A 20,532-nucleotide genomic window follows, 5' to 3' on the forward strand; every position below is an offset into this window, starting at 1 on the left:
CACTCTGATCAAAGATATCCAGAGAAGGATCTCCCTACACACACACACACACACACACACACACACACACACACCCCTCTAGGACAGGTGCACATGTGGGGAGAAGGGTATTACAATGACAATTGTTAAATTCTAACACCCTCCTTTTTACCATCAAACTCTAAACACTCACACTTTCCTCTTTTGGGAGTCCTTATTGCTAGAGAAATTAATGTATATTTCAGAGAATAGTAGCACAGATGACATTTTCAAGAGGCTGAATTCAGTCTTCCACTTGGAGGTGTCACATAAGGTATGACGGCTCACACAGACCCTCAGAGGCCTTCCTTCCACCCTCAGCCCATTAACTTTTTTTCTGACCATTTCTCTAGTCTCTCTTGTTACTGTTAGGTTTCTTGTGGGTTGTTTGGTTAACCCTACTATGTTAGTCCATTTTCATACTGCTATGAAGAAATATCTCAGACTGGGTAATTTATAAATAAAAACAGGTTTAATGAACTCACAGTTCCACATGGTTGGGGAGGCCTCACAATTATGGTGGAAGGCGAAGGAAGAGCAAAGGCATGTCTTACATGGCAGCAGGCAAGAGAGCGTGTGCAGGGGAAATGCCCTTTATAAAACCATCAGATCTTGTGAGACTTATTTACTATCACGAGAACAGCACGGGAAAAACCCACCCCCAGGATTCAATTACCTCCCACCAGGTCCCTCCCATGGCACGTGGGAATTATGGGAGCTACAATTCAAGATGAGATTTGGGTGGGGACACAGCCAAACCATATCACCCACTGAGGGCAGTGATGCAACAGTAATTTTAGCCTACCCACAAGACATTGTACCTGTTACTAAAGTGTTTGTGTCATAACTCCCCTGTTACTGCAGAGGGACACTTTTTTGAGGACTGCTCTTTGTGAAGCTGTACTATTTAAATAGATAGCAACATAGAATCAAATGAACATTCTCATTTACCTTTGGCTATTTTCAATTATTATATTGATTGATAACATAAAGTCATATGTAAGTTCATCTGAGTGAGTGATTGATTAATTAATGGTAGAGATGGGGTCTCACAAGGTTGCCCAGGCTGGTCTTGAACTCCTGGCGTCAGGTGATCCTCCTGCCTTGGCCTCCCAAAGTATTGGGATTACAGGCATAAGTCATCATGCCCAGCTAAATTCATCTTATTTTCAAGGGTAAATAATAATAGATTTATATAGGCTGTTAATAATAAGTTCATTGTGTTCTCCAATTCTCTGTAATCACCAACTTTTTTTTCCACTGAAAAGTGGGAAAGAGTGGGACGGGCTGATTTGCTTAGTTGGTGGTCAAAACTGAATGGGTCCATACTGCCTAAATGCATTCAATGCACAGTCCTAGACTGGAAAAAAAAAGTCGAAAGACATTGTTAGGAAAATTGGTGAAATTTGATGTCTTGTAGATAACAACATTGTGTCGATGTTTAATTTCCCAAAAGGTATGCAGTGGTTCTTTCTACTATTCTTGCAGTTTTTCAAAAAGCTTGACATTATTTAAAAAGTACAAAATTTTAAAAAGCAATGAGGAATCTGAGCCCCAGACACAGTTGACCCTAGAACCCAGCACTTCCGTGGGACAGCCAAGTGCCATCGGCTCCCTGCTGTTGCCAGCTGAATACAATACAGTGCGTGTCACATGCCCCATGAGCAACACGGAGTCTGTGATTCAAGGAGAGGAGAGCATTATACAGCCAAGGAAGAAGTGACTTCTTGAAGGGGCTGGTGAGGGCTGGTGTCAAAAGTTAGAGCCATCAGCTCTCTCTTAGGCCAGATGCCTGGGGACTTTTATTACCAAAACAAAATAACAGCAATCAAGACAAAACAAATATCTGTACAGTTTAATCTTTATTTTTACAGGATTTGGCAGGAGCCAGAAGGTCTGGAACAGTAGGCCTTTCTGGGAACTTTGTATTTATTAAAATGGTCTGGACACTGGTTCTTATTATTCTTTCTCTCCCTTTGAAATGGGAATGGAAAGTCTCCCGATAAATGGGCAGAGGCATGGTCTAGACTCTCGTAACTAACTACTCTCATAATCCTTTTGTGCTCCAATACAAAAAATGCATGTGTGAACTTTACGTTCTTGAGATTCTAGGTTCTCAGCCACCCAACCTTGCTGAACATGCTGGGCAACGTGGAACACGGGGACTCGTGGTCATGCTAATAACAGAACAAGTTTCCATTGGAAAGCTTTGCCTAAAAGAATCCTTAAAATACTATAAATTTACTCCACAGAATCTAATTCATCCTTCTTAGAAAAGAGTTGGAATTTCTGCCTTTAGAATTTATTCTTTATTTTACAAGTTCTACATTTCAAAGTTAACTTATCTTGCCAAATATTGAAATTCATCTTTATAAAACAGTACAACAGACAACCAGGATGCTATGTCATAACGTAAGCTTAATTTACATCTAAAAATAAATTTTTAGGCCGGGCACGGTGGCTCACGCCTGTAATCCCAGCACTTTGGGAGACCAAGGTGGCCAGATCACTTGAGATCAGGAGTTCAAGACCAGCCTGGCCAACATGGAGAAACCCCGTCTCTACTAAAAGTACAAAAAATTAGCCAGGCATGGTGGCATGCGCCTGCAATCCCAGCTACTCGGGAGGCTGAGGTAGGAGAATCGCTTGAACCCAGGAGGCAGAGGTTGCAGTGAGTGGAGATCGTGCCACTGCACTCCAGCCTGGGTGACAGAGCAAGACTCCTTCTCAAAAAATAATAATAATAATAATAAATAAATAAGTAAATTTTTAAGTTGTGATAAAATACACATAACATAAAATTTACCATCTTAACCATATTCAAGTGTACAGTTCAGTAAAGTTAAATATATTCACACTGCCATGCAACCAGTGTCCAGAACTTTTTCATCTTGTAATACTGAAACTCTACAGCCACCAAACAACAGCTCCCCTTTTCCTCCTCCGCCAGTTCCTGGCAACCCCCATTCCACTCTGTTTCTCCATGAACTTTATTGCTCTGGACACCTCATCTAAGTGGTATAATATGGTGTTTGTCTCTTTGTGACTCAGCATAATATCCTCGAGGTTCATCCATGTTGTAGCATGAATCAGAATCTCCCTCCTTTTTATGGCTGAATCATATTCTATTGTGTGTCTGTGCCACATTTTGCTCATCCACGCATTCATCCATGGACACCTGGGCTGTCCCCACTTCCTGATTATTGTGAATAATGCTGCCACAAGCATGGATGTACAAATTATCTCTTCAAGACTCTGTTTTCAATTCTCTGGGGTCTATACTGAGAAGTGGAGTTGTTGTATCCTATAGTACTTCTATTTTTTATTTTTTGAGGAACCGCCATACTGTTTTTTAAGCAGCTGCATTATTTTACATTCCCACCAATCATGCACAAGGATTCCAATTTCTCTGCATCCTTACCAACACTTTGTATTTTCTGTTTTTTTGATAGTAGCCATCCTAATGGGTATAAGGTTTAAAATTTAAGTTTAGAGTTTAGTTTACAGTAAAAGGCTGCTTCAGTCAATGAAATATCTGAAACCAATGAAAAGCAAAATAAAGCATTCTTATATTAGGAAGGAATATCCTTTTCCTATTATTTAGCAAAGCATCAGCTGGACTGGAGAGAAAAGGCTGAAGCTAAAGATATCAGTAAGGAGCCTACTGTAATCACTGAGCTGAGAGCTATTGGGCAGGTGAACTTGAGCAATGTCAAGGAACCTAAGGATAAAGATGCCAGGGACACTTTGGAAATGAAATTGACATTGATTTTCAAGTGATTGAATGTTGGACACAAGAGGAGTTGATGATAGCACGGAAGCTGCAAATGCAGATGACCAGGGGAATCAGTGTCACACACAGAATGGGAGAGAAGAAGCAAGAACTGGCGGGGAGGACCGCATTGTGATGAAGGAGCTCAACAGGTGAGTGGAGCTGGGAGCAGAGGTGAGAAGACTGGGTGGAGAGAACCCCAGGTGGTCCCATGAGTGAAGATGACACTGCTGAAGGAGATAAACAGAAAAATCAGGGGGCCATTGCCAGAATAAAGGAATATTTACTAAGCTATCCCATGCAGGTGTAATGCCAACTGTTTCACCCTGAGCAGAGCCAAAAGCGCTCCCTGACTTTGGCTGAAAGTTTATAGCTAAGACATGTAAAACGACAGGCTGGAATCCTGGGGAGGCTAACGAGTGGTACTTTACTCCCTGGCCATAGCTGGCAGGGGACTCTCAGCTCATCATTTTGCAAGATGAAATTCGTTTGTTGCAGGGGTCTTCAAGCAGAAGCACTTCTTAGAAAATCAATCAAGTCTCCTACTGCTAGCAGGTCAGCAAGCTATCCCTCCTTACTGTGTTAAAAAAAAAAAAAAAAAAAAAACCCATGCACATTCCCTGACTGTAAATCAATGATTATAAGTCATGAAGGTGAAATATAAGAGATTTTGAAGTATATTTTCAAAGTTGAAAATGTATGTCACCTTAGGTGCATGCAACATCTTGCCAACTGAATATGGAACCAGCTGTCCTGCAGAATATAATTTGATGACAAAGTCAATGTTTTTCAGCCATAGCAGAGAGGAAAGAACATGATGTACAAAAATTATTCAAGTCCTAAGCATTCTATCCTTAATAGAGCCATCAGCAAGTTTATATTTCAATTATACTAACTACCTCTGACCTATCACACATAATTCACATTTGCAAAGTTGTGGGTTTAAAAAACATATCTACATGAGCTTGCATGCAGTGCAGACACATTTGGTTTTGATTCTCTTTGACCTCCTCCAAGAGTAGTAAAAGATCACCTTTCCCAGGAGATAACATGTAAGTCTGCTCATATATTTCCAAACACAGCATGTGGCTTCAGTCACATGTCTCTTATTAATGTCAATGGGATCTGTGTAGGTAGGAACTCATGGCCCCAAAACTCCCTGAGGAATTTGGGTGCTGGAAACAACATTAACACAGTGTCTTATTCTCTACCAGGTCCTGGGAGTCCTGATATTGGTGACTTACTAGGTTATCCATTGACCCAATAAGGCCTTGCCTATCAATGATGCATTTAACATATTAGCACGTTGTCTTAGAGCATTTGTGTTGCTGTGACTGGGTAATTTACAGGAACAGAAACTTATTTCTTACAGTTCTGGAGGCTGGAAAGTCCAAAATCAAGGCGCCTTGAACACTGTGTCCTCACATGGCAGAAGGCAGAAGGACAAAAAAAAGGGGGTGGGCACAACCCCCTTCCATCAAGCTATTTCACAATCATCTATTTGTGAGGGTGAGATCCCCACAACCTATACACCTCCCAAAAGACCCCATCTTCCAGCATTGTTGCATTGGGGATGAAGTTTCCAACACATGAATTTTGGGGGACACATTCAGACCACAGCACACATTCCAAGAGTTGGAGTGAAGGCTGGGGAAAGCATCTGGAATAGGCTGTTTGCTGTGCGTGCAGGGATTGCTGTCCTAACGGATTGGAGGGATGGGCCCTGAACAGAGAGGCCTCGTAACTCCACAGTATCAGCCCCACCCAAACAGGTTCAGAGGCCCAGGCAGTAGACAGAAGTCACCTTACACGTAGAGAGGCACAGGTGGGGATTTTCCAGTTTTCATCTTACAAGGCAGGGGAGAGGGGGACCAAAGGCGCAACTTAAAGGAAACAAATATTTGTGTGTGTGTGTTTTTAAATCATTTGAGACATGAATCGATTGCCTTGGCTATCATGTTTCTATACTTCTACAGAAAAAAAAAAGATCTAAAATGGATATCTGTATATATTCTCAAAGAAAAGTGAAGAGTGGCCTTAGCTGAGAATGCCTGTATTATTAGTGCCAGGTATATGTATAATTTAAAAATTTCCCTAGTCTTTTCTTCTTTTTATCTTCCTTTTTCCTCTAGCAAAGACTGTTGAAGCCTCCAGAAAGTATTTGCTGAGCACCTACCACAGCGAGGTGCTGTTTCAGCCCTGGCGACAGAGCAGCAGACAAGACGGGGGGGTCCCTTTTCTCACTGACTGGCGACTAAAGAGACAAGGACAGTGGCCCACAAAGAGCAGGGCCACGCCGAGAATTCAAACAATGTTCTAATTGCTGTGTTGAAAGAGGATGGTCAAGTGGCTCCTTTAGACGGGGCAGACAGAGGCCTCTCTGAGGAGATGCCGGCAGGGCCAGGGAAGGGAGTAGCACCCAGGAAGGATGGATGGCGGGGCCAGGGCAGGACGGGGGTGCCCTGGGCAGGATGGGCAGTTCAGGCCCCATCCAGGGGTTGGGTGTCAAGCTTTTCTTGGGGCTGGGTCTGGAGAGGGTAGGACGCTTGTCCACGCCCCACAGCTCTTTGGTGACAGAGCCAGGATGAGAACTAGGTCTCCTCTTCCCTGCTCTCCACATTGGCTCCAGGTGGCTAGCCCATCCTCTCCTTGTTATGTGTGTGTGTGTGTGCGCGCGTGTGTGTGTGTGTCTGTGTGTGTTCTTTTTACCCCAAGTCAATTCTCTTACCCTTGACTTCGTTCTTAGCTTAACGCCTCACAGCTTCCTTCAAGCCATCCTTTAAATTTTTCCAGATCACCATCCTACCTGTGTCAGCATGTCCTTCTAGCTCTTACAGTCAAATGCAACTCTTGCGGAGGCTCCATGTAAGAACAGACAGATCATAGTCCAAGGGTATGACCACAGTGTAGATGATGGCTGCTGACCGTGGAAGAGGAGGGCTGGGGGGCCCATGCCAGGTGCTCAGGGTGCGATGGGAATGTGGGGCTGCTCTGCCGCATGCCAAATGCTTACGGGTTTTCTGTGTCTCATCCGCAGGAAGCACAACCCTCGCTCTCATCCCCGAGTCTGACATTGGATTATCAGTGGCCTCTGAACTTTATGGCCACGAACCCCATTGGTAAATGGTGAGCCTGAGAGTAGACACGGCTATGCCCTGCCCAGATCCCAGCTGCTGCGAATGTTGGCTGCCAGCAGCTGCCCCTTTTGCTGGAGCGCTGCCCTAGGCTCACCTGGGAGGTTACAAGGCACACCTGAGCACCCCGGCCCCACCATCGTGGGAGCAGCTCACAGCCAGTGTATGATTAGGGCAGTGCAAGAGGCCGGTCCACTTCTTCCTGAGGAGACCTCCACCATTCCTCTGGGGTGCGATGTCTGCTCCCGAGCTCCCTGCAGGGTCGGGCTGAGGCCACAGCCTTGCTTAGGTCCTTCCCCTGCTCTGGTCCTGTTCCCACACTCTTTTCCTGAGAGAATGCCCTCAATACATCGCTTGTCCAAGAATCCAGGTCTGGTTCTGCACCTAGGAAATCTGACCTAAGACAAGCGCAAGCATGCTTCCCGGCCAGTGCGTGTGCGGTTGTTTATTTACATGTTAAATACATGTACAACTCCCACCAGGCGATAAATATCAAAGCTTAGTATACACTTAGGCTGAGGTCAGTTGTTAAGGTGCACTGACTATTTTGTAATCAGTGGGTCTTCTTGCCAGATAAGTTGTCAATTGTTTGAAGAGCCAGGAGCAGAAATGGCCACAGTCATTTTCTTGCCTGCTTGTGCTTGCATCATTAGAATTATTTTTAGTCTCTGTGTGTGCATGTGTGTATACAATTCTGTTTTGTTTTGTTTAGAGACGGAGACTCGCTCTGTCGCCCAGGCTGGAGTGAAGTGGTGCTATCTCGGCTCATTGGAACCTCCACCCTCAGGGTTCAAGCAATTCTCCTGCCTCAGCCTCCTGAGTAGTTGGGACTACAGACGCCCGCCGCTGTGCCCATCTAATTTTTTGTATTTTAGTAGGGACGGGGTTTCAACATGTTGCCCAGGCTGGTCTCGAACTCCTGAGCTCAGGCAATCCGCCCGCCTCAGCCTCCCAAAGTGCTAGGATTATAGGCGTGAGCCACTGCACCCAGCACAACTTTTTTTAAAGCCACTTGTCATGTTGTGAGGGTCTATCTAGTTAAAAGTGTAAATCTACTTAACCTGGGGGTGAGGGAGCCTCGGATGTCTTACACTGCATTGTACACTCGATGGTCTGTTATCCTGCAGCCTGTGGGTGTCAATGCTAATCTTTATAACAAAAATTAGTGAATGTAATTTCTCCTATTTTTCCAGATACAAATTACCATAAGAGAATTTCTAGTAAGTCCTGCTGTGCACCAGTGAGGTGTCTGGGCATCTTTGTTCTGGAGATCACAGGTTTTCAAAAGTGGTGGGGCCACGCATGGTGGTGCATGCCTGTCATCCCAGCTACTTGGGAAGGTGAGGCAGGAGGATCCTTAGTGTCCAGCTATTCAAGTCCAGCCTGGGCAAGACAGCAATATCCTGTCTCTTAAAAAAATAAGTAGGCAACAATGTATACTTCAAAACATCATGTTGTACATGACAAATATGTACAATTTTATCTGTCATTTATAAAAAGAAAAAATTACTTGGATGTATATCAAGAATGTGTTATATCTTTGAATAAAGATTTGTAAAAAGAAAAAAGTGGTAGGCACTTCTAGGTATATATCCTACAGAAATGCAAGCATATATGCTCCAAAAATGTATAAAAGAATGCTTAAAACCTATTTGTTATAGCCAACATTCTGGAAATAACCCAAATGTCCATCACTAGTAGAATGGCTAAATTGTGGCAGTTACACAATGGAATACTAGACAGCAATGAGAATGAATGAAATCCTACATGAGCAAAGGTACAGGGAGTCTTGCAAACAGAATATTGAGTAAAGGGATCCTGACGTGAAAGACAGCCTGCTGTATGTTCCATTTATACAGAGTTCAAAGAGAGGCAGATTCACCATGGGGCTAGAGCCTGAACGGAGACGCCCTTTGTGGAGGGCGGTGAGTGGGATGATGGCCGTGTTCTCTACCTTGGCCTGGAGGTGGGATTGGGTACGTTCGCTTTGTAGAAATTCATTGAGCTCATACACTTGTAAACATAAGTGTGCATTTTTCTGCATGCATGTTATCTATTTTTTAAGTTTACTTTTTAAAAGGTGGGTAAAATCAAAGATTTCCCCAAAATGTTCCTCTCTAGAAACTTAGGAGTAGGAACAAATTTCCAAGGTGGTTGTGGGGGGATGGCGGGGGACTCCAGCACGCTGCCTCCTTCTTAACCAAGCTGGCCACTGTGTTGTTGTCTGATGCCGAGTCCATTTGCCTTTCACCTGGTGTGACTCCACCTTGGCATATGCGGTTATTTCCAGTGTCGTGTCTACACACTCATCGGCCTGTAGAATCCTAGAGAAGTGGGAAGGTGGATGTTCTAGCATCTTCTTTAGGGACTGGGGCGTTGAGGAGCAGGGATTTTTGTTTTTTTGTTTTGTTTTGTTTGAGACAGAGTCTCACTCTATCACCAGGCTGGAGTGCAGTGGTGCGATCTCGGCTCACTTTAACCTCCACCTCTCGGGTTCAATAGATTCTACGCCTCATCCTCCCGAGTAGCTGGGACTACAGGCACGCACCACCACACCCAGCTAATTTTTGTATTTTTAGTTGAGATGGGGTTTCACCATGTTGGCCAGGATGGTCTCGATCTCTTGACCTCGTGATCCACCCGCCTCGGCCTCCCAAAGTGTTGGGATGACAGGTGTGAGCCACCACACCTGACCGGAGTAGGAACTTTCTTAAGGGCACAAAGCCAGTGAATGGCTCAGGACTAAGAGCGGGTAATGCCTGGCCCTGTCCTCATTGCGCGAGGTTGCGAGAACCAAACTGCCTTTTGAGGAGGGGCCTCACTGTTGCAGAAATCCTGGAGCGCAGAGGGGTGCAGTGTCTTGACGGCCACTACCTGGACCCGCTCGAAAGTGAGGTGCTTGTCGGGCCCCTCAGTCACTGGGGCCTTCAGTGTTCTGCTCTTTTATCTTAGCATGTCTCCTGTGAAGATTTTTTTTTTTTTTTTTTTTTTTTTTTTGAGACGGAGTCTCGCTCTGTCGCCCAGGCTGGAGTGCAGTGGCGGGATCTCGGCTCACTGCAAGCTCCGCCTCCCGGGTTCACGCCATTCTCCTGCCTCAGCCTCCCGCGTAGCTGGGACTACAGGCGCCCGCCACTACGCCCGGCTAATTTTTTGTATTTTTAGTAGAGACGGGGTTTCACCGTTTTAGCCGGGATGGTCTCGATCTCCTGACCTCGTGATCCGCCCGCCTCGGCCTCCCAAAGTGCTGGGATTACAGGCGTGAGCCACCGCGCCCGGCCGAAGATTTGTTAAAAAGACATTTCTTTCCTGCGTTTGCATCACGTTCACTTTGTGTTTTTGTACTTACAATCCAGGAGGCAGCATTCCAGAAAGGAAAATGCCGGTGTATGAAGAATCCAGTGACTCCCTCAGCTAAATTCACATCACACGAAGAGGCAGCTTGTTCAGAGGGCTTGGAGGGCCAGCTTGTGAAACCCACATGACCGTGGAAATAGCATGTTAAAAATCCTCTAGGAAAACCAGGGAAATAGGCATTGCAACGAGTGTGTGTGTGTGTGTGTGTGTGTGTGTGTGTGTGTGTGTGTGTATTTTGAGAAAGGTCTCGCTCTGTCACACAGGTTGAGTGCAGTGAGGCAATCACAGCTCACCCTAGCCTCCATCTCCCAAGCTCAAGCAATCCTCCTGCCTCAGCCTCCTGAGTAGCGGGACTACAGGTGCAGGCATTACCACACCCAGCTGATTTTTCAAAAATTGGTTTTATTTGTAGTAGAGACGAGGTCTCGCTGTTAACCCAGGCTGGTCTCGAACTCTTGAGCTCAAGTGATCCTCTTGCCTCAGCCTCCCAAAGTGCTGGGATTACAGGCGTGAGCCACCACACTCGACCAGCAACATGTTTTAAATGCTTTCCTCACTGATTTTTTTTTTTTAACCATGATTTCTTGGTCCGTGCTGGTCTCCATGTAGCCCCTCATCTGACCCCTCAGAGTCCACAGAGCTGTCTTCATGGCACCTGTCCTGAGGCTTGTTCTGGTGGGACCCTCTGCATTTCTGCCAGGCCTCCCCCTCAGACTGGATTCTCCCCATGGGAAAGGCTTAGGATTTGTGGACATTCCACCCTAGACCTCTGGGGAAAGCAGCAGACCAACTTCGCGGGTTGTGAAAAACCATCCGGGCTGGTCGATTGTGTTTCCAGCGGGCTCCACATCTATCCTGAGAGGTGAGTATGTGGCTCCCTCTCCCCTGTGGCAGGGAAATGGTGGAGACTCCTCAGACCATCCATCCTTCCAGCCATGGTAACTTGCCACCAGTATTTAATGTTATGTCTGGGGTTGCCAGACAGAAAGCTGTTTGCAGACAATAGCATGCCAGCCACACAAGCAGACCTTCAGCAAGATGCCCCATTTGGCCAGTTCAGCCGCAGCACCCATGACCTTCTTTCAAGTTCTCTATATTTCAGCCAAATTAAACCTCATGCTGTTCCCAACACATGCCCTGTCTTTTTATCTCTGCGCAGGGCTATATTCCTCTGCCGGGAACACTCTAGGCCTCTTTCTTTCCTAAAATTGACCTGAGGTCAAAGATCAGCTGTCTCAGGAGACCTCTTTGCCTTCAATTAGAGACCAGCCCTTCTTCCTAAGAACATCCATAGGATTAATCTGAACTCTTAGATCCCTTCTCATTCCAGCTCATGGTTTTGAGTCAATCCTCTGAGACTCTGAACTCCTGAAGAGCAAAGAGCATGATGCTCCCACCTCTGAATCCCCAGTAGTGCTGTATGTTCCTGTATTCATGGTTTCATTCCATCAACACACATTTACTGGCACTGCTTCAAAAAGCCCTTTCCTGACCACCTTGTCCAAAATGGGCTTTTGTACCACTGAGCACAATCAAACATCCTTTTTTTATTTATTCTTTTACTTGTAAATTCCCTCTCTCCCTAGAATGCAATTCCAATCTGTCTTGTTCACATCTATATTAGTCTATTCTCACATTGCTATAAAGAACTACCTGAGATTGGATAATTTATAAAGAAAAGAGGTTTAATTGACTCACAGTTCTGCAGTCTTAACAGGAAGCATGGCTGGGAGGCCTCAGGAAACTTACAATCACGGCAGAAGGGAAAGCAAGCGCATCTTACCACAGCGGAGCAGGAGAGAGAGCACTTGAAGGGGGAGGTGCCATACTTTTGAACCATCAGATCTCGTGAGAATTCATTCAGTTTCATAAGAACAGCAAGGGGGAAACTGTCCCCATGATCCAATCACCTCCCACCAGGACCCTCCCCTCACATGTGGGGATTACAATTCAACATGAGATTTGGGTGGGGACACAGAGCCAAACCATACCAACCTCAGCGACAAGTATAATACTTAGCATAGAGTAGGTGCTCAGATAGCTGTGGATGAAGGTATCAGTTAAGGAATGAATGCATGGAGCATATAGGTGTGACTTGGGTTTTGCACAGAGCTTTCAAACAGCAAGCAGGTTGAGAGCCCCAGGCCTCTATGAGAGTGGTTAATCTGTGACCCAAGATGTGTGGGGTTAGTATTAGGTCTGTGTGCCCACAGCATACCCTGGCACCACCCTCCTTGCCTGCCCATTGGAATGGGCATGTTCTGCCATCGGGTGATATGGTAATTCTCTGCAAACGTCATTGTGCACTCATCTCCATATGCAAGTCCCAATTCAAATGAGAGGAACAGCACGACTCATGCATTTGGGCCTGCACTTAAATGCCTTATGAGCTTCAAGGAAAAGCATCAGTCTCATAAAATTTAGGAAGAGTTAACAGAAATTAAGAGTGAGTAAAGCAAAATAGCAGTGATATCTTCCTAATGATGTTCAGCCTCACTTCACCCTCCTGAACATTTTCAAGGATCTGTGGCCATGTGAAACCCTGAAGGGAAGGGAACTTTTATTCCACATGCCACTTGGATGGCATCGAGAGCTCTTTTCTGCACTTGCAGAGATTTATTTGCAAGGCTTTTCCCTCCTTTAGGATCTCAATTAGGGGCAAGTGGACTATTCCCAGGGTGAAGTGTGTTCAGCATGTAGAAAAACGCCTTTGTGTCGGTTAGTAGAATGTCCTACCATTTGCGAAATGAATTTACGAGGAAAAGTCCAAATTAAATAGGGATTACACTGATCCCTTTTAAGAATTTTCAATTCATATTGGCGCATTCTATTTTCTGGTGTGTGAGCACTAAACCAAAAACAGTCCTGCCTCAAGTGCTGGGATCTACATACCCATTAGGCCAGGAATTCATTATGCAAAGCAGCTGTTCTACCAACAGCCAAGTGTCCCAAGACAATTCCCCTCACATGTGCTTCTCCTGCTGGGAGGCACGTCAACCCCCCGCTGTGCACGAGCTCCTTTATTTGCTCCTGTCTCTTGCTGCTCATTTGGCAGCAGGTGACCGCGAAGGTGCCTGCCTAGGCACAGACATCCACGCAAGCACCACCTTCACCTCTGGGAACACTCCCCAAGCACCTATTCCTCTCACTTCCACCTGTCTGTTTCAAGGAAACAAAAGAGCAGGCAGAACAAAGGGTGCATTTCTTAGAGATTATCTTTAGTAGCTGCACATTCAAAAGCAGACAGACTGGTATTTTCCTAGGGTTACAAAGGAAAACTCACTTCTATACCTCACGTTTACCACTCTTCTGCACGAGTGTTTCTGTTGTTCTTAATGCGTTCGGAGCCTGCAAAGCTTGATATGGTCTAGTTAGGACTCGCTCCTTGGGAAAGCTTCCTAGATATTTCCAGGGAGTCCCGAGCAGCTCCAGGAGCAGGCCCTGCCTGAGGTCCCGGTTGCTGGGATTCAGCCTCCACACAACACATGGTGTTTTCTCTAGCAGGTTTCTCCAACGAGTCCGGCCTTTCTTTGGCTCCCTTAACTGAGACCAACACACACCATTCCTATGACCCCAGTTGCGTGGTTGGTTTTCTAGAACCTTATGAAAGAAATGCAATGGTAGGAAATTATATATATATATATATATATATTAGACAGAGTTTCACTCTTGTTGCCCAGGCTGGAGTGCAATGGCGCAATCTCGGCTCACCACAACCTCCACCTCCCAGGTTCAAGTGTTTCTCCTGCCTCAGCCTTCTGAGTAGCTGGGATTACAGGCACCTGCCACCACGCCCAGCTAATTTTGTATTTTTAGTAGAGACAGGGTTTCTCCATGCTGGTCAGGCTGGTCTCGAACTCCCGACCTCAGGTGATCCACCCACCTCAGCCTCCCAAAGTGCTGGGATGACAGATGTGAGCCACCGTGCCCGGCAGGGATCCTGATATTATACACAAGGTGCTAGTTAGGAGGTGACATCTGATAGGGACCCAGAAGGTTAGGTCACACTTAAAGGGGAGGGAGCATGACTGGGGAGGAAACAGACCTGGCGAAGATCAAGAAATAGGAAAGAAAGACCTGAGACAGCAGTGTATAGAAGGAGGATATAGGGGAAAGGTTGGCAGGAAAGTCTGGGCTTGCCAGGTGGGCTAGTTTAGCTTTCAATGGGCAGGCTGAGGAGCTGGCTGAGGTTAGGCCGGGGAGAGACAGATCTGCTGGCTGCTGCATTGGGCAGGTGAGCCTGGTGGCGTCTGCATAACAGGATTGGGATGGCCGCTGGTTGAAAGCCTGCTGCAATAATCCAAATAAAACACAACCAGGGCTGCCCCAGCCCAGTAAGTCTGGAAAGATAGAGAATAACGTGGGAGACTGGGATGCATCAGACACGGGATCCCATAACTAGATCATGCATTGGCAGAAATTCCTGCTTCAATGAAGACCTCCCCTCACAATTGCCTTAGTTAGCTACAGAAGAATTCATTCAAAGGCAACCCAAATCTGGAAAAAAATCAAAGATGTGGGAAATGGGAAATAGAATTCATACATTTATTTGCTATAAATATAATTATGTCAAAATGTTTTCTATCAAAAACATTGGCCCAATGGACCAATGCTAAGAAGTTTAAAAAAAAAAAAAAAAAAGCAAAGCGGCTTCTTCTGCCCCCTGGTGGCTTTTGGGGAAAAGTCACTGAAAGGGCAGAAAGAGCAAAGGGGACCAGTTTCTCTCCACTTTGTACCCAAGGGTCAACTGAGCACGCAACACCCTTAAAAATAAGGGAGAAGTGCAGAGGGCTCGCTCCCCTCCCGCGCCAGCTCTCTCTCGGTCAAGGTTGGGCCACAGCCAGTGTCTCCTCCACTAGATCCGAGCCAGTGGCTCTGCCCAGGTGGACAGCAGAGTCGCCGCTGAGATTCTAACTGCTTCCATCGGGGCTCTCGGAGCAGCTGTTGGAACAGGATGGGGAGCAGAGCAATTCTGACAGTGTCAGGAAAACATCCCCCTGGCTTCCCCGTGCCCAGGCTTGAAGACCCAGGGGCTGGATACACAGCCACGGACACAACAGAATTCACTTTTAACGAGGCTTCAGAAAACAACGTTTAACTATATAAACACCTGTTTTTGGAAAATGCTGCAGATCTATTTCCAAATACTGTCTTCCAGCCCACTCTCGCTCCCACTGAGGCAGCATCCCACGGGACCCAACGTCACCACTTTTCCAGTCCAAAAAATGTGCTTTCGATGTCCTGATTTGAGGCTGCTCTTCCTCTAACCTGTGCGGCTCTGTGAAAAGCCAATTTTAAGATGCGATGCCTCCTCCAGAATTCGCCTGTATGCAGAAGAATGATGCAGAAGGAGGCAGAAAAGCCGGAGCAGTTGGGGGCAAGATGAAAACAGTCTAGTCATTATCAGTTAAACTGTAACTGCGTGCGGCAGCGTGCTGAGCGAGACAATCAGCGGAGCCCGTGAAATGTTGCTGGTTTTCCAGATAGCCCGTTTAGTTTTGTCTCAAACAAAACAAACAAAAATGTGCATAATTGTACCCAGGTCTCAAGCCCGTTTTATTTCTCCATTATACCAAGGAAAACTTGAATGGTGGCCCCACTGGAGTGAGGCTCCCGTGAATATGAATAATTGTTCATGAATATGAATAATGGGTTCCTATGAATAATTGTTTATCCACATTCGATTAGAGAGCAGCAGCCATTAGCATCTTTTTAGCCTTCTGACATTAGGGTCTTCTTTGTGAGCAGGTATTTAAAATGGATTCAATTCCACGGTCTTGAAGGCCTGTTCCGATATCGTGAATTTTGCAGATAACTGTAATTTATCCTGTAAGAGAACCTTTTGATTGCTTTAACTATGAAATATTTCCATTGCATTATACATTTGCTTATAATAGAGTATAGGAAATGTATTTTAACCATTTCCTGGACAATTCAACATTGTCATTACCAAAGTCAACTCTCCGACTGGCCTGAAACTACCCTGTTGTTTAGATAACCTTAGCTAAGTAGAGTTTACTCCACCTTTTTTCTGTAATGTTTGTTAAAACTTGAATCTTGTGACCTTTCTTTTTTGGTTGATACCTGCTTTGATCAAGATATAACGGGCTGAAGAACAGCAGCGAGGCTGCGTGCTGAGCTGTCTACACCTGCAAATCTCATCAACTCCTATCAGCTGGGCAGCAGGTTGCCCAGTTCACCACTCCTGATGAGGAAGCTGAAGTTTGCTGAACTTCCTTCTGGCACTAACGTCACACACTTCATAGCGCTCCTAGGACTTGAACTTAGTCTGGTTTGCCTTCCAAGTCCAGATTCTCCAAAACATTTTTTCTTTTTCTTTTAACTTACTAAGTAGGTGAATAAAAGGATGCGGGTGCTTGCTGGGGGAATGTGGCCAGAAGGTTGCTCCCGGTCTGATGTCAGCGCTCCCTACCCACGGTTGTCCACAGGGCACGGGTGGAATGCTGTCGGCCATGCACAGGGAGAGCTGGTCAGGGTAAAATGTGCAACCTTCCATTAGCACGTTGTTTCCAGTTCACTTTTTCCTTTTACTTTGGTGCCAAAAATTTCTTCAGAGAAACATCTCCACAAAGCCCCATGCTCTTTCTCCTATACCACATAGCCCTAATGGCGCTCCCAGGAATAAGGCAGGAGATTTGGTGCATGAATTCCAGCCCATTCTAGCTGCTAAGCGGTGATTGTGTTTCCTTCCTTTCTGCCTTTTCTATGTTCCAGATGGTGAAGTGGCCAGATAAGCAGCCTACAGATAAGTGAGGTCTACAATTCATCACACACCGATAATGCTGACATATAACAGTTTCCGTATCTTTACAAAGGCAATAAATGGGTAAGAGAAATGAATAACACTCATTAGAATAAGGCCAAACTAGTCTCCAGATTTTCCCTTTAAACTTCGCTCCTTTAGTTCCAAACTTTCCCAACAGAATAATTAGTGACTTTATCAGAAATATTAAATACTTCAAGCATAATCACCAGCTGCTGTAGATGCAGAAGCATTAATTGCATACTGCTGGCCACACACTGATTATTTTCCTGGCTTTGTTAGTAAAATAACAAATAGAATTGCAACGTGGCTCAAGAACAGGCAGAAACCAGGAAGACTGGAAGTAGTCATTCGTACTTTCTGCAGGCGCTGCCCTTCATTCTTGCACAGAACTCCCATGGCCACTGCCCGTCAGCAGGGGCCCCTTCCAATCTCCCACCCCCACAAGCTCTGCCCAAGGGGATCAGCAACCAATTTTTGGTGAAGCAAGTCCAGACCAACCTCCCCATATCTAAATGAAATGCCTCCACTGAAATTCCATATGATCTATGGATTGAGACATTGACACGCAGCTTGGGTTAGAAGTAGGCTGGGAAAAAACCCTAGTAATCAAAATTGCCCTAAAAAATGCAATAAAGGAATAAAACATCTCCAAAAGGCAGAGCCATAAATCTTTCCAATCTTTCTTCTGGGCTGATTTAATCATGTGTACTATCCACCAGCTGTATGTTAACCAGTATAAGGGAGATGTTATGATGAGTATTTATTTTCTCCCACCTTTCTTTTGCAGAGTTAGGTCACTGAAGATTTTTGAGTAGACTTCTTTTGTAAGATGCATGAACATCCTTTGATTGCTATAGATTCAGAGATTGTTATTGATAAAGTTTTTTATTTGGATAAAATAAATATGCAACTAGAAAACTAGAAACCTGGAAGAAAATTTAAGATGCAATATTTGAAAGTGGAAATAAAAGAACAGGAATCCTGTGTAAATATTTCTGAATTAATCTTTCAGTCATTCAAATTGTTCTTTAAGGAAGCAGCATCTCTGTACATAGCTTAACTGTAAATCTAAATGGAACAGTTATCTTAGGAAACTGATATAGTAATGAGATGCTACAAACGCACATAGGCATAGCTGCACTTAAATCAAACGTGGGACTAGATTGCACAATGGGAATTACATATGAGAAACCGCAAAGTGTCAAAGGAAGTTGCCCACAAACAAATGTTCCCCTGTCATAGTACCACAGTGTTTTACCACATAGAAACCTAAGAAAGTACCAAAGCATGACACATTTTATTTTATTTTATTTTTTTGAGACGGAGTCTCACACTGTCGCCCAGGCTGGAGTGCAGTGGCGCGATCTCAGCTCACTGCAACCTCCGCCTCCCTGGTTCAAGAGATTCTCCTGCCTCAGCCTCCCGAATAGCTGGGATTACAGGCGCCCACCACCATGCCCATCTAATTGTTTTTGTATTTTTAGTAGAGACGGGGTTTCTCCATGTTGGCTAGGATGGTCTTGAACTCCTGACCTCGTGATTCGCCCGCCTCAGCCTCCCAAAGTGCTGGGATTACAGGCGTGAGCCATCACACCCGGCCCGAATTTAAATTTTAATTGAATTAGACATATGTGGCTAAAGCTACCTTATTGTACAGGGCAGCCTTAGCAGTTTGTGTCATTCCTACCATAATCATAAATCCAAACCCTTTATCAAGTTGATTCCGTGAATCAAAACTGAGACATCCTACCATTACTAGGGAGATTTCACTGCGTACATGCTCTCTTGCTGTATGTACATATGTGTGTACAGTATTTGCCTTAAAGGTCAGTAAAGTAACTCACATCAGCAACAGTTAACTTCCGAAGTACAGTCTGGCCACCTCTCGATATTTTAAAATATTCTGGACAAATATGTAGAACTGTTGACATACGACTGAGCTAAAAGCCTTAAGCTCTGAATTCACAAACCTAAAATGCTGTTTTTCTTGTTTCACGATCAAAAAGCTCCAATAGTTGAGAGATGCTATTCAGATTCACTGAATACTGAACTAACAAAGTGTGATGAATTGGATTTCATGAAGTATTCATGAGTTTTCATTTAACATTAATTAAAATTTTAAAAACCTTATGTTAAATAATTTTAAGACCCTGGCACAGACTGACAAGCATGGAAAATTAAGGTTCAGAAGAAAATTTCATTCAAAATCACAATTGAATAATATGTTGGGAGTACATTTATATATATAAATACATACACGTGTAAACACACACACACACGCACAATTTTTGAGAGACAAGGACTCGCTCTGTCACCCAAGCTGTATAGCAGTGGTGTGATCATAGCTCACTGAAGCTGTGAACTGAACTCAAGCGATCCTTGTTTCAGCCTCCCAGGTAGCTAGGACTACAGGCACACAACACGCCTGGCTAATTTTGTTTTTGTAGAGATGGGGTCTCACTATGTTGCCCAGGCTTGTCTGGAACTCCCAGCCTCAAGCAATCCTCCTGCCTTGGCCTCCCAAAGGACCTTTTTCTTATAATGACTCTAGCCTGTAACATCAAAATAAATAAATCTTTAAAACCACTTTTTAAACATATTGCATTTAATCAAACTTTAATGATCAAAGAAACAAAAATACTTGTGCTAGTCACTAACAGTCTGCTTTATACATGCCAGACAAGAATGCCCCTAAGATGGCTGAAATGCTCCATTTCGAGTGGTATTACAAATGCCATGTAAGAGCTGCTATACTAACTTTTAAAAACAGCACTTTTAATTTAGAATTGCTTCTTCATATTGCAGATGAAGAGATGTGATGAGGAAACCACGCTCTCTATATGCATGCAAGCTATTTGGAAGCTCTAATAAAAACTTGGGAAACAAAACGTCTACAGCAACTTTAATTCTTAGTCTACACTGAAACGTGAAAGGTAGTCAGGAGTTGTTGCCGATGGGATTAAAATTGTTTTTACTTTTCTTCAGTATTCTTTTCTATATTGTCTAAATGTTTCCTGATGAACACTGTCCATTTCAACTAAGAAAAGGCTAAGTCCATTCTGGAGGAAAAAAATGACAGTGGGAATTGTAACTAATATTTAAATCACTTGGAAATAGGATTCATTTTATCACCAACCTACCAGGACCCTCTTTACTGTAAAGAGATAAAACACTAGTAAATGTATTGCATAAATATACCACAGACTATTATGAACAATTAAAGCACACTTTATATTTTTTAAAATTTCTCTGTAAACGTTCTAAGATAAATTATATTTGAATTTGATAAAGTCCTATTTTGAATCCCTTTGGGTTATAAAAGTCTATTCCCTAATTTATCTTGTGAAAATCCAGACTTCTGGCTTAAAATGGGATTTACTTTACTCTCTGAGAAAGGAATCCACCGTACTTTGATTTAGATAACCACATGGTCTGGAACTCCATTTAGTGAAAATTAAATTTTATGA

The 20,532-nt window shown here is 44.4% G+C and overlaps 1 annotated feature.

Moving 5' to 3' along the window:
- Window positions 12,932-13,524: an enhancer, noted in NCBI's record as "OCT4-NANOG hESC enhancer chr10:123492224-123492816 (GRCh37/hg19 assembly coordinates)". NCBI's record gives its function as "activates a minimal SCP1, AML or CMV promoter by ChIP-STARR-seq in primed H9 embryonic stem cells {active_cell/tissue: H9 hESC(primed)}" and the evidence as "EXISTENCE:reporter gene assay evidence [ECO:0000049][PMID:30033119]".

This window comes from Homo sapiens, chromosome 10 (genome assembly GCF_000001405.40).
Source record: "Homo sapiens chromosome 10, GRCh38.p14 Primary Assembly".
NCBI lineage: Eukaryota > Metazoa > Chordata > Mammalia > Primates > Hominidae > Homo > Homo sapiens.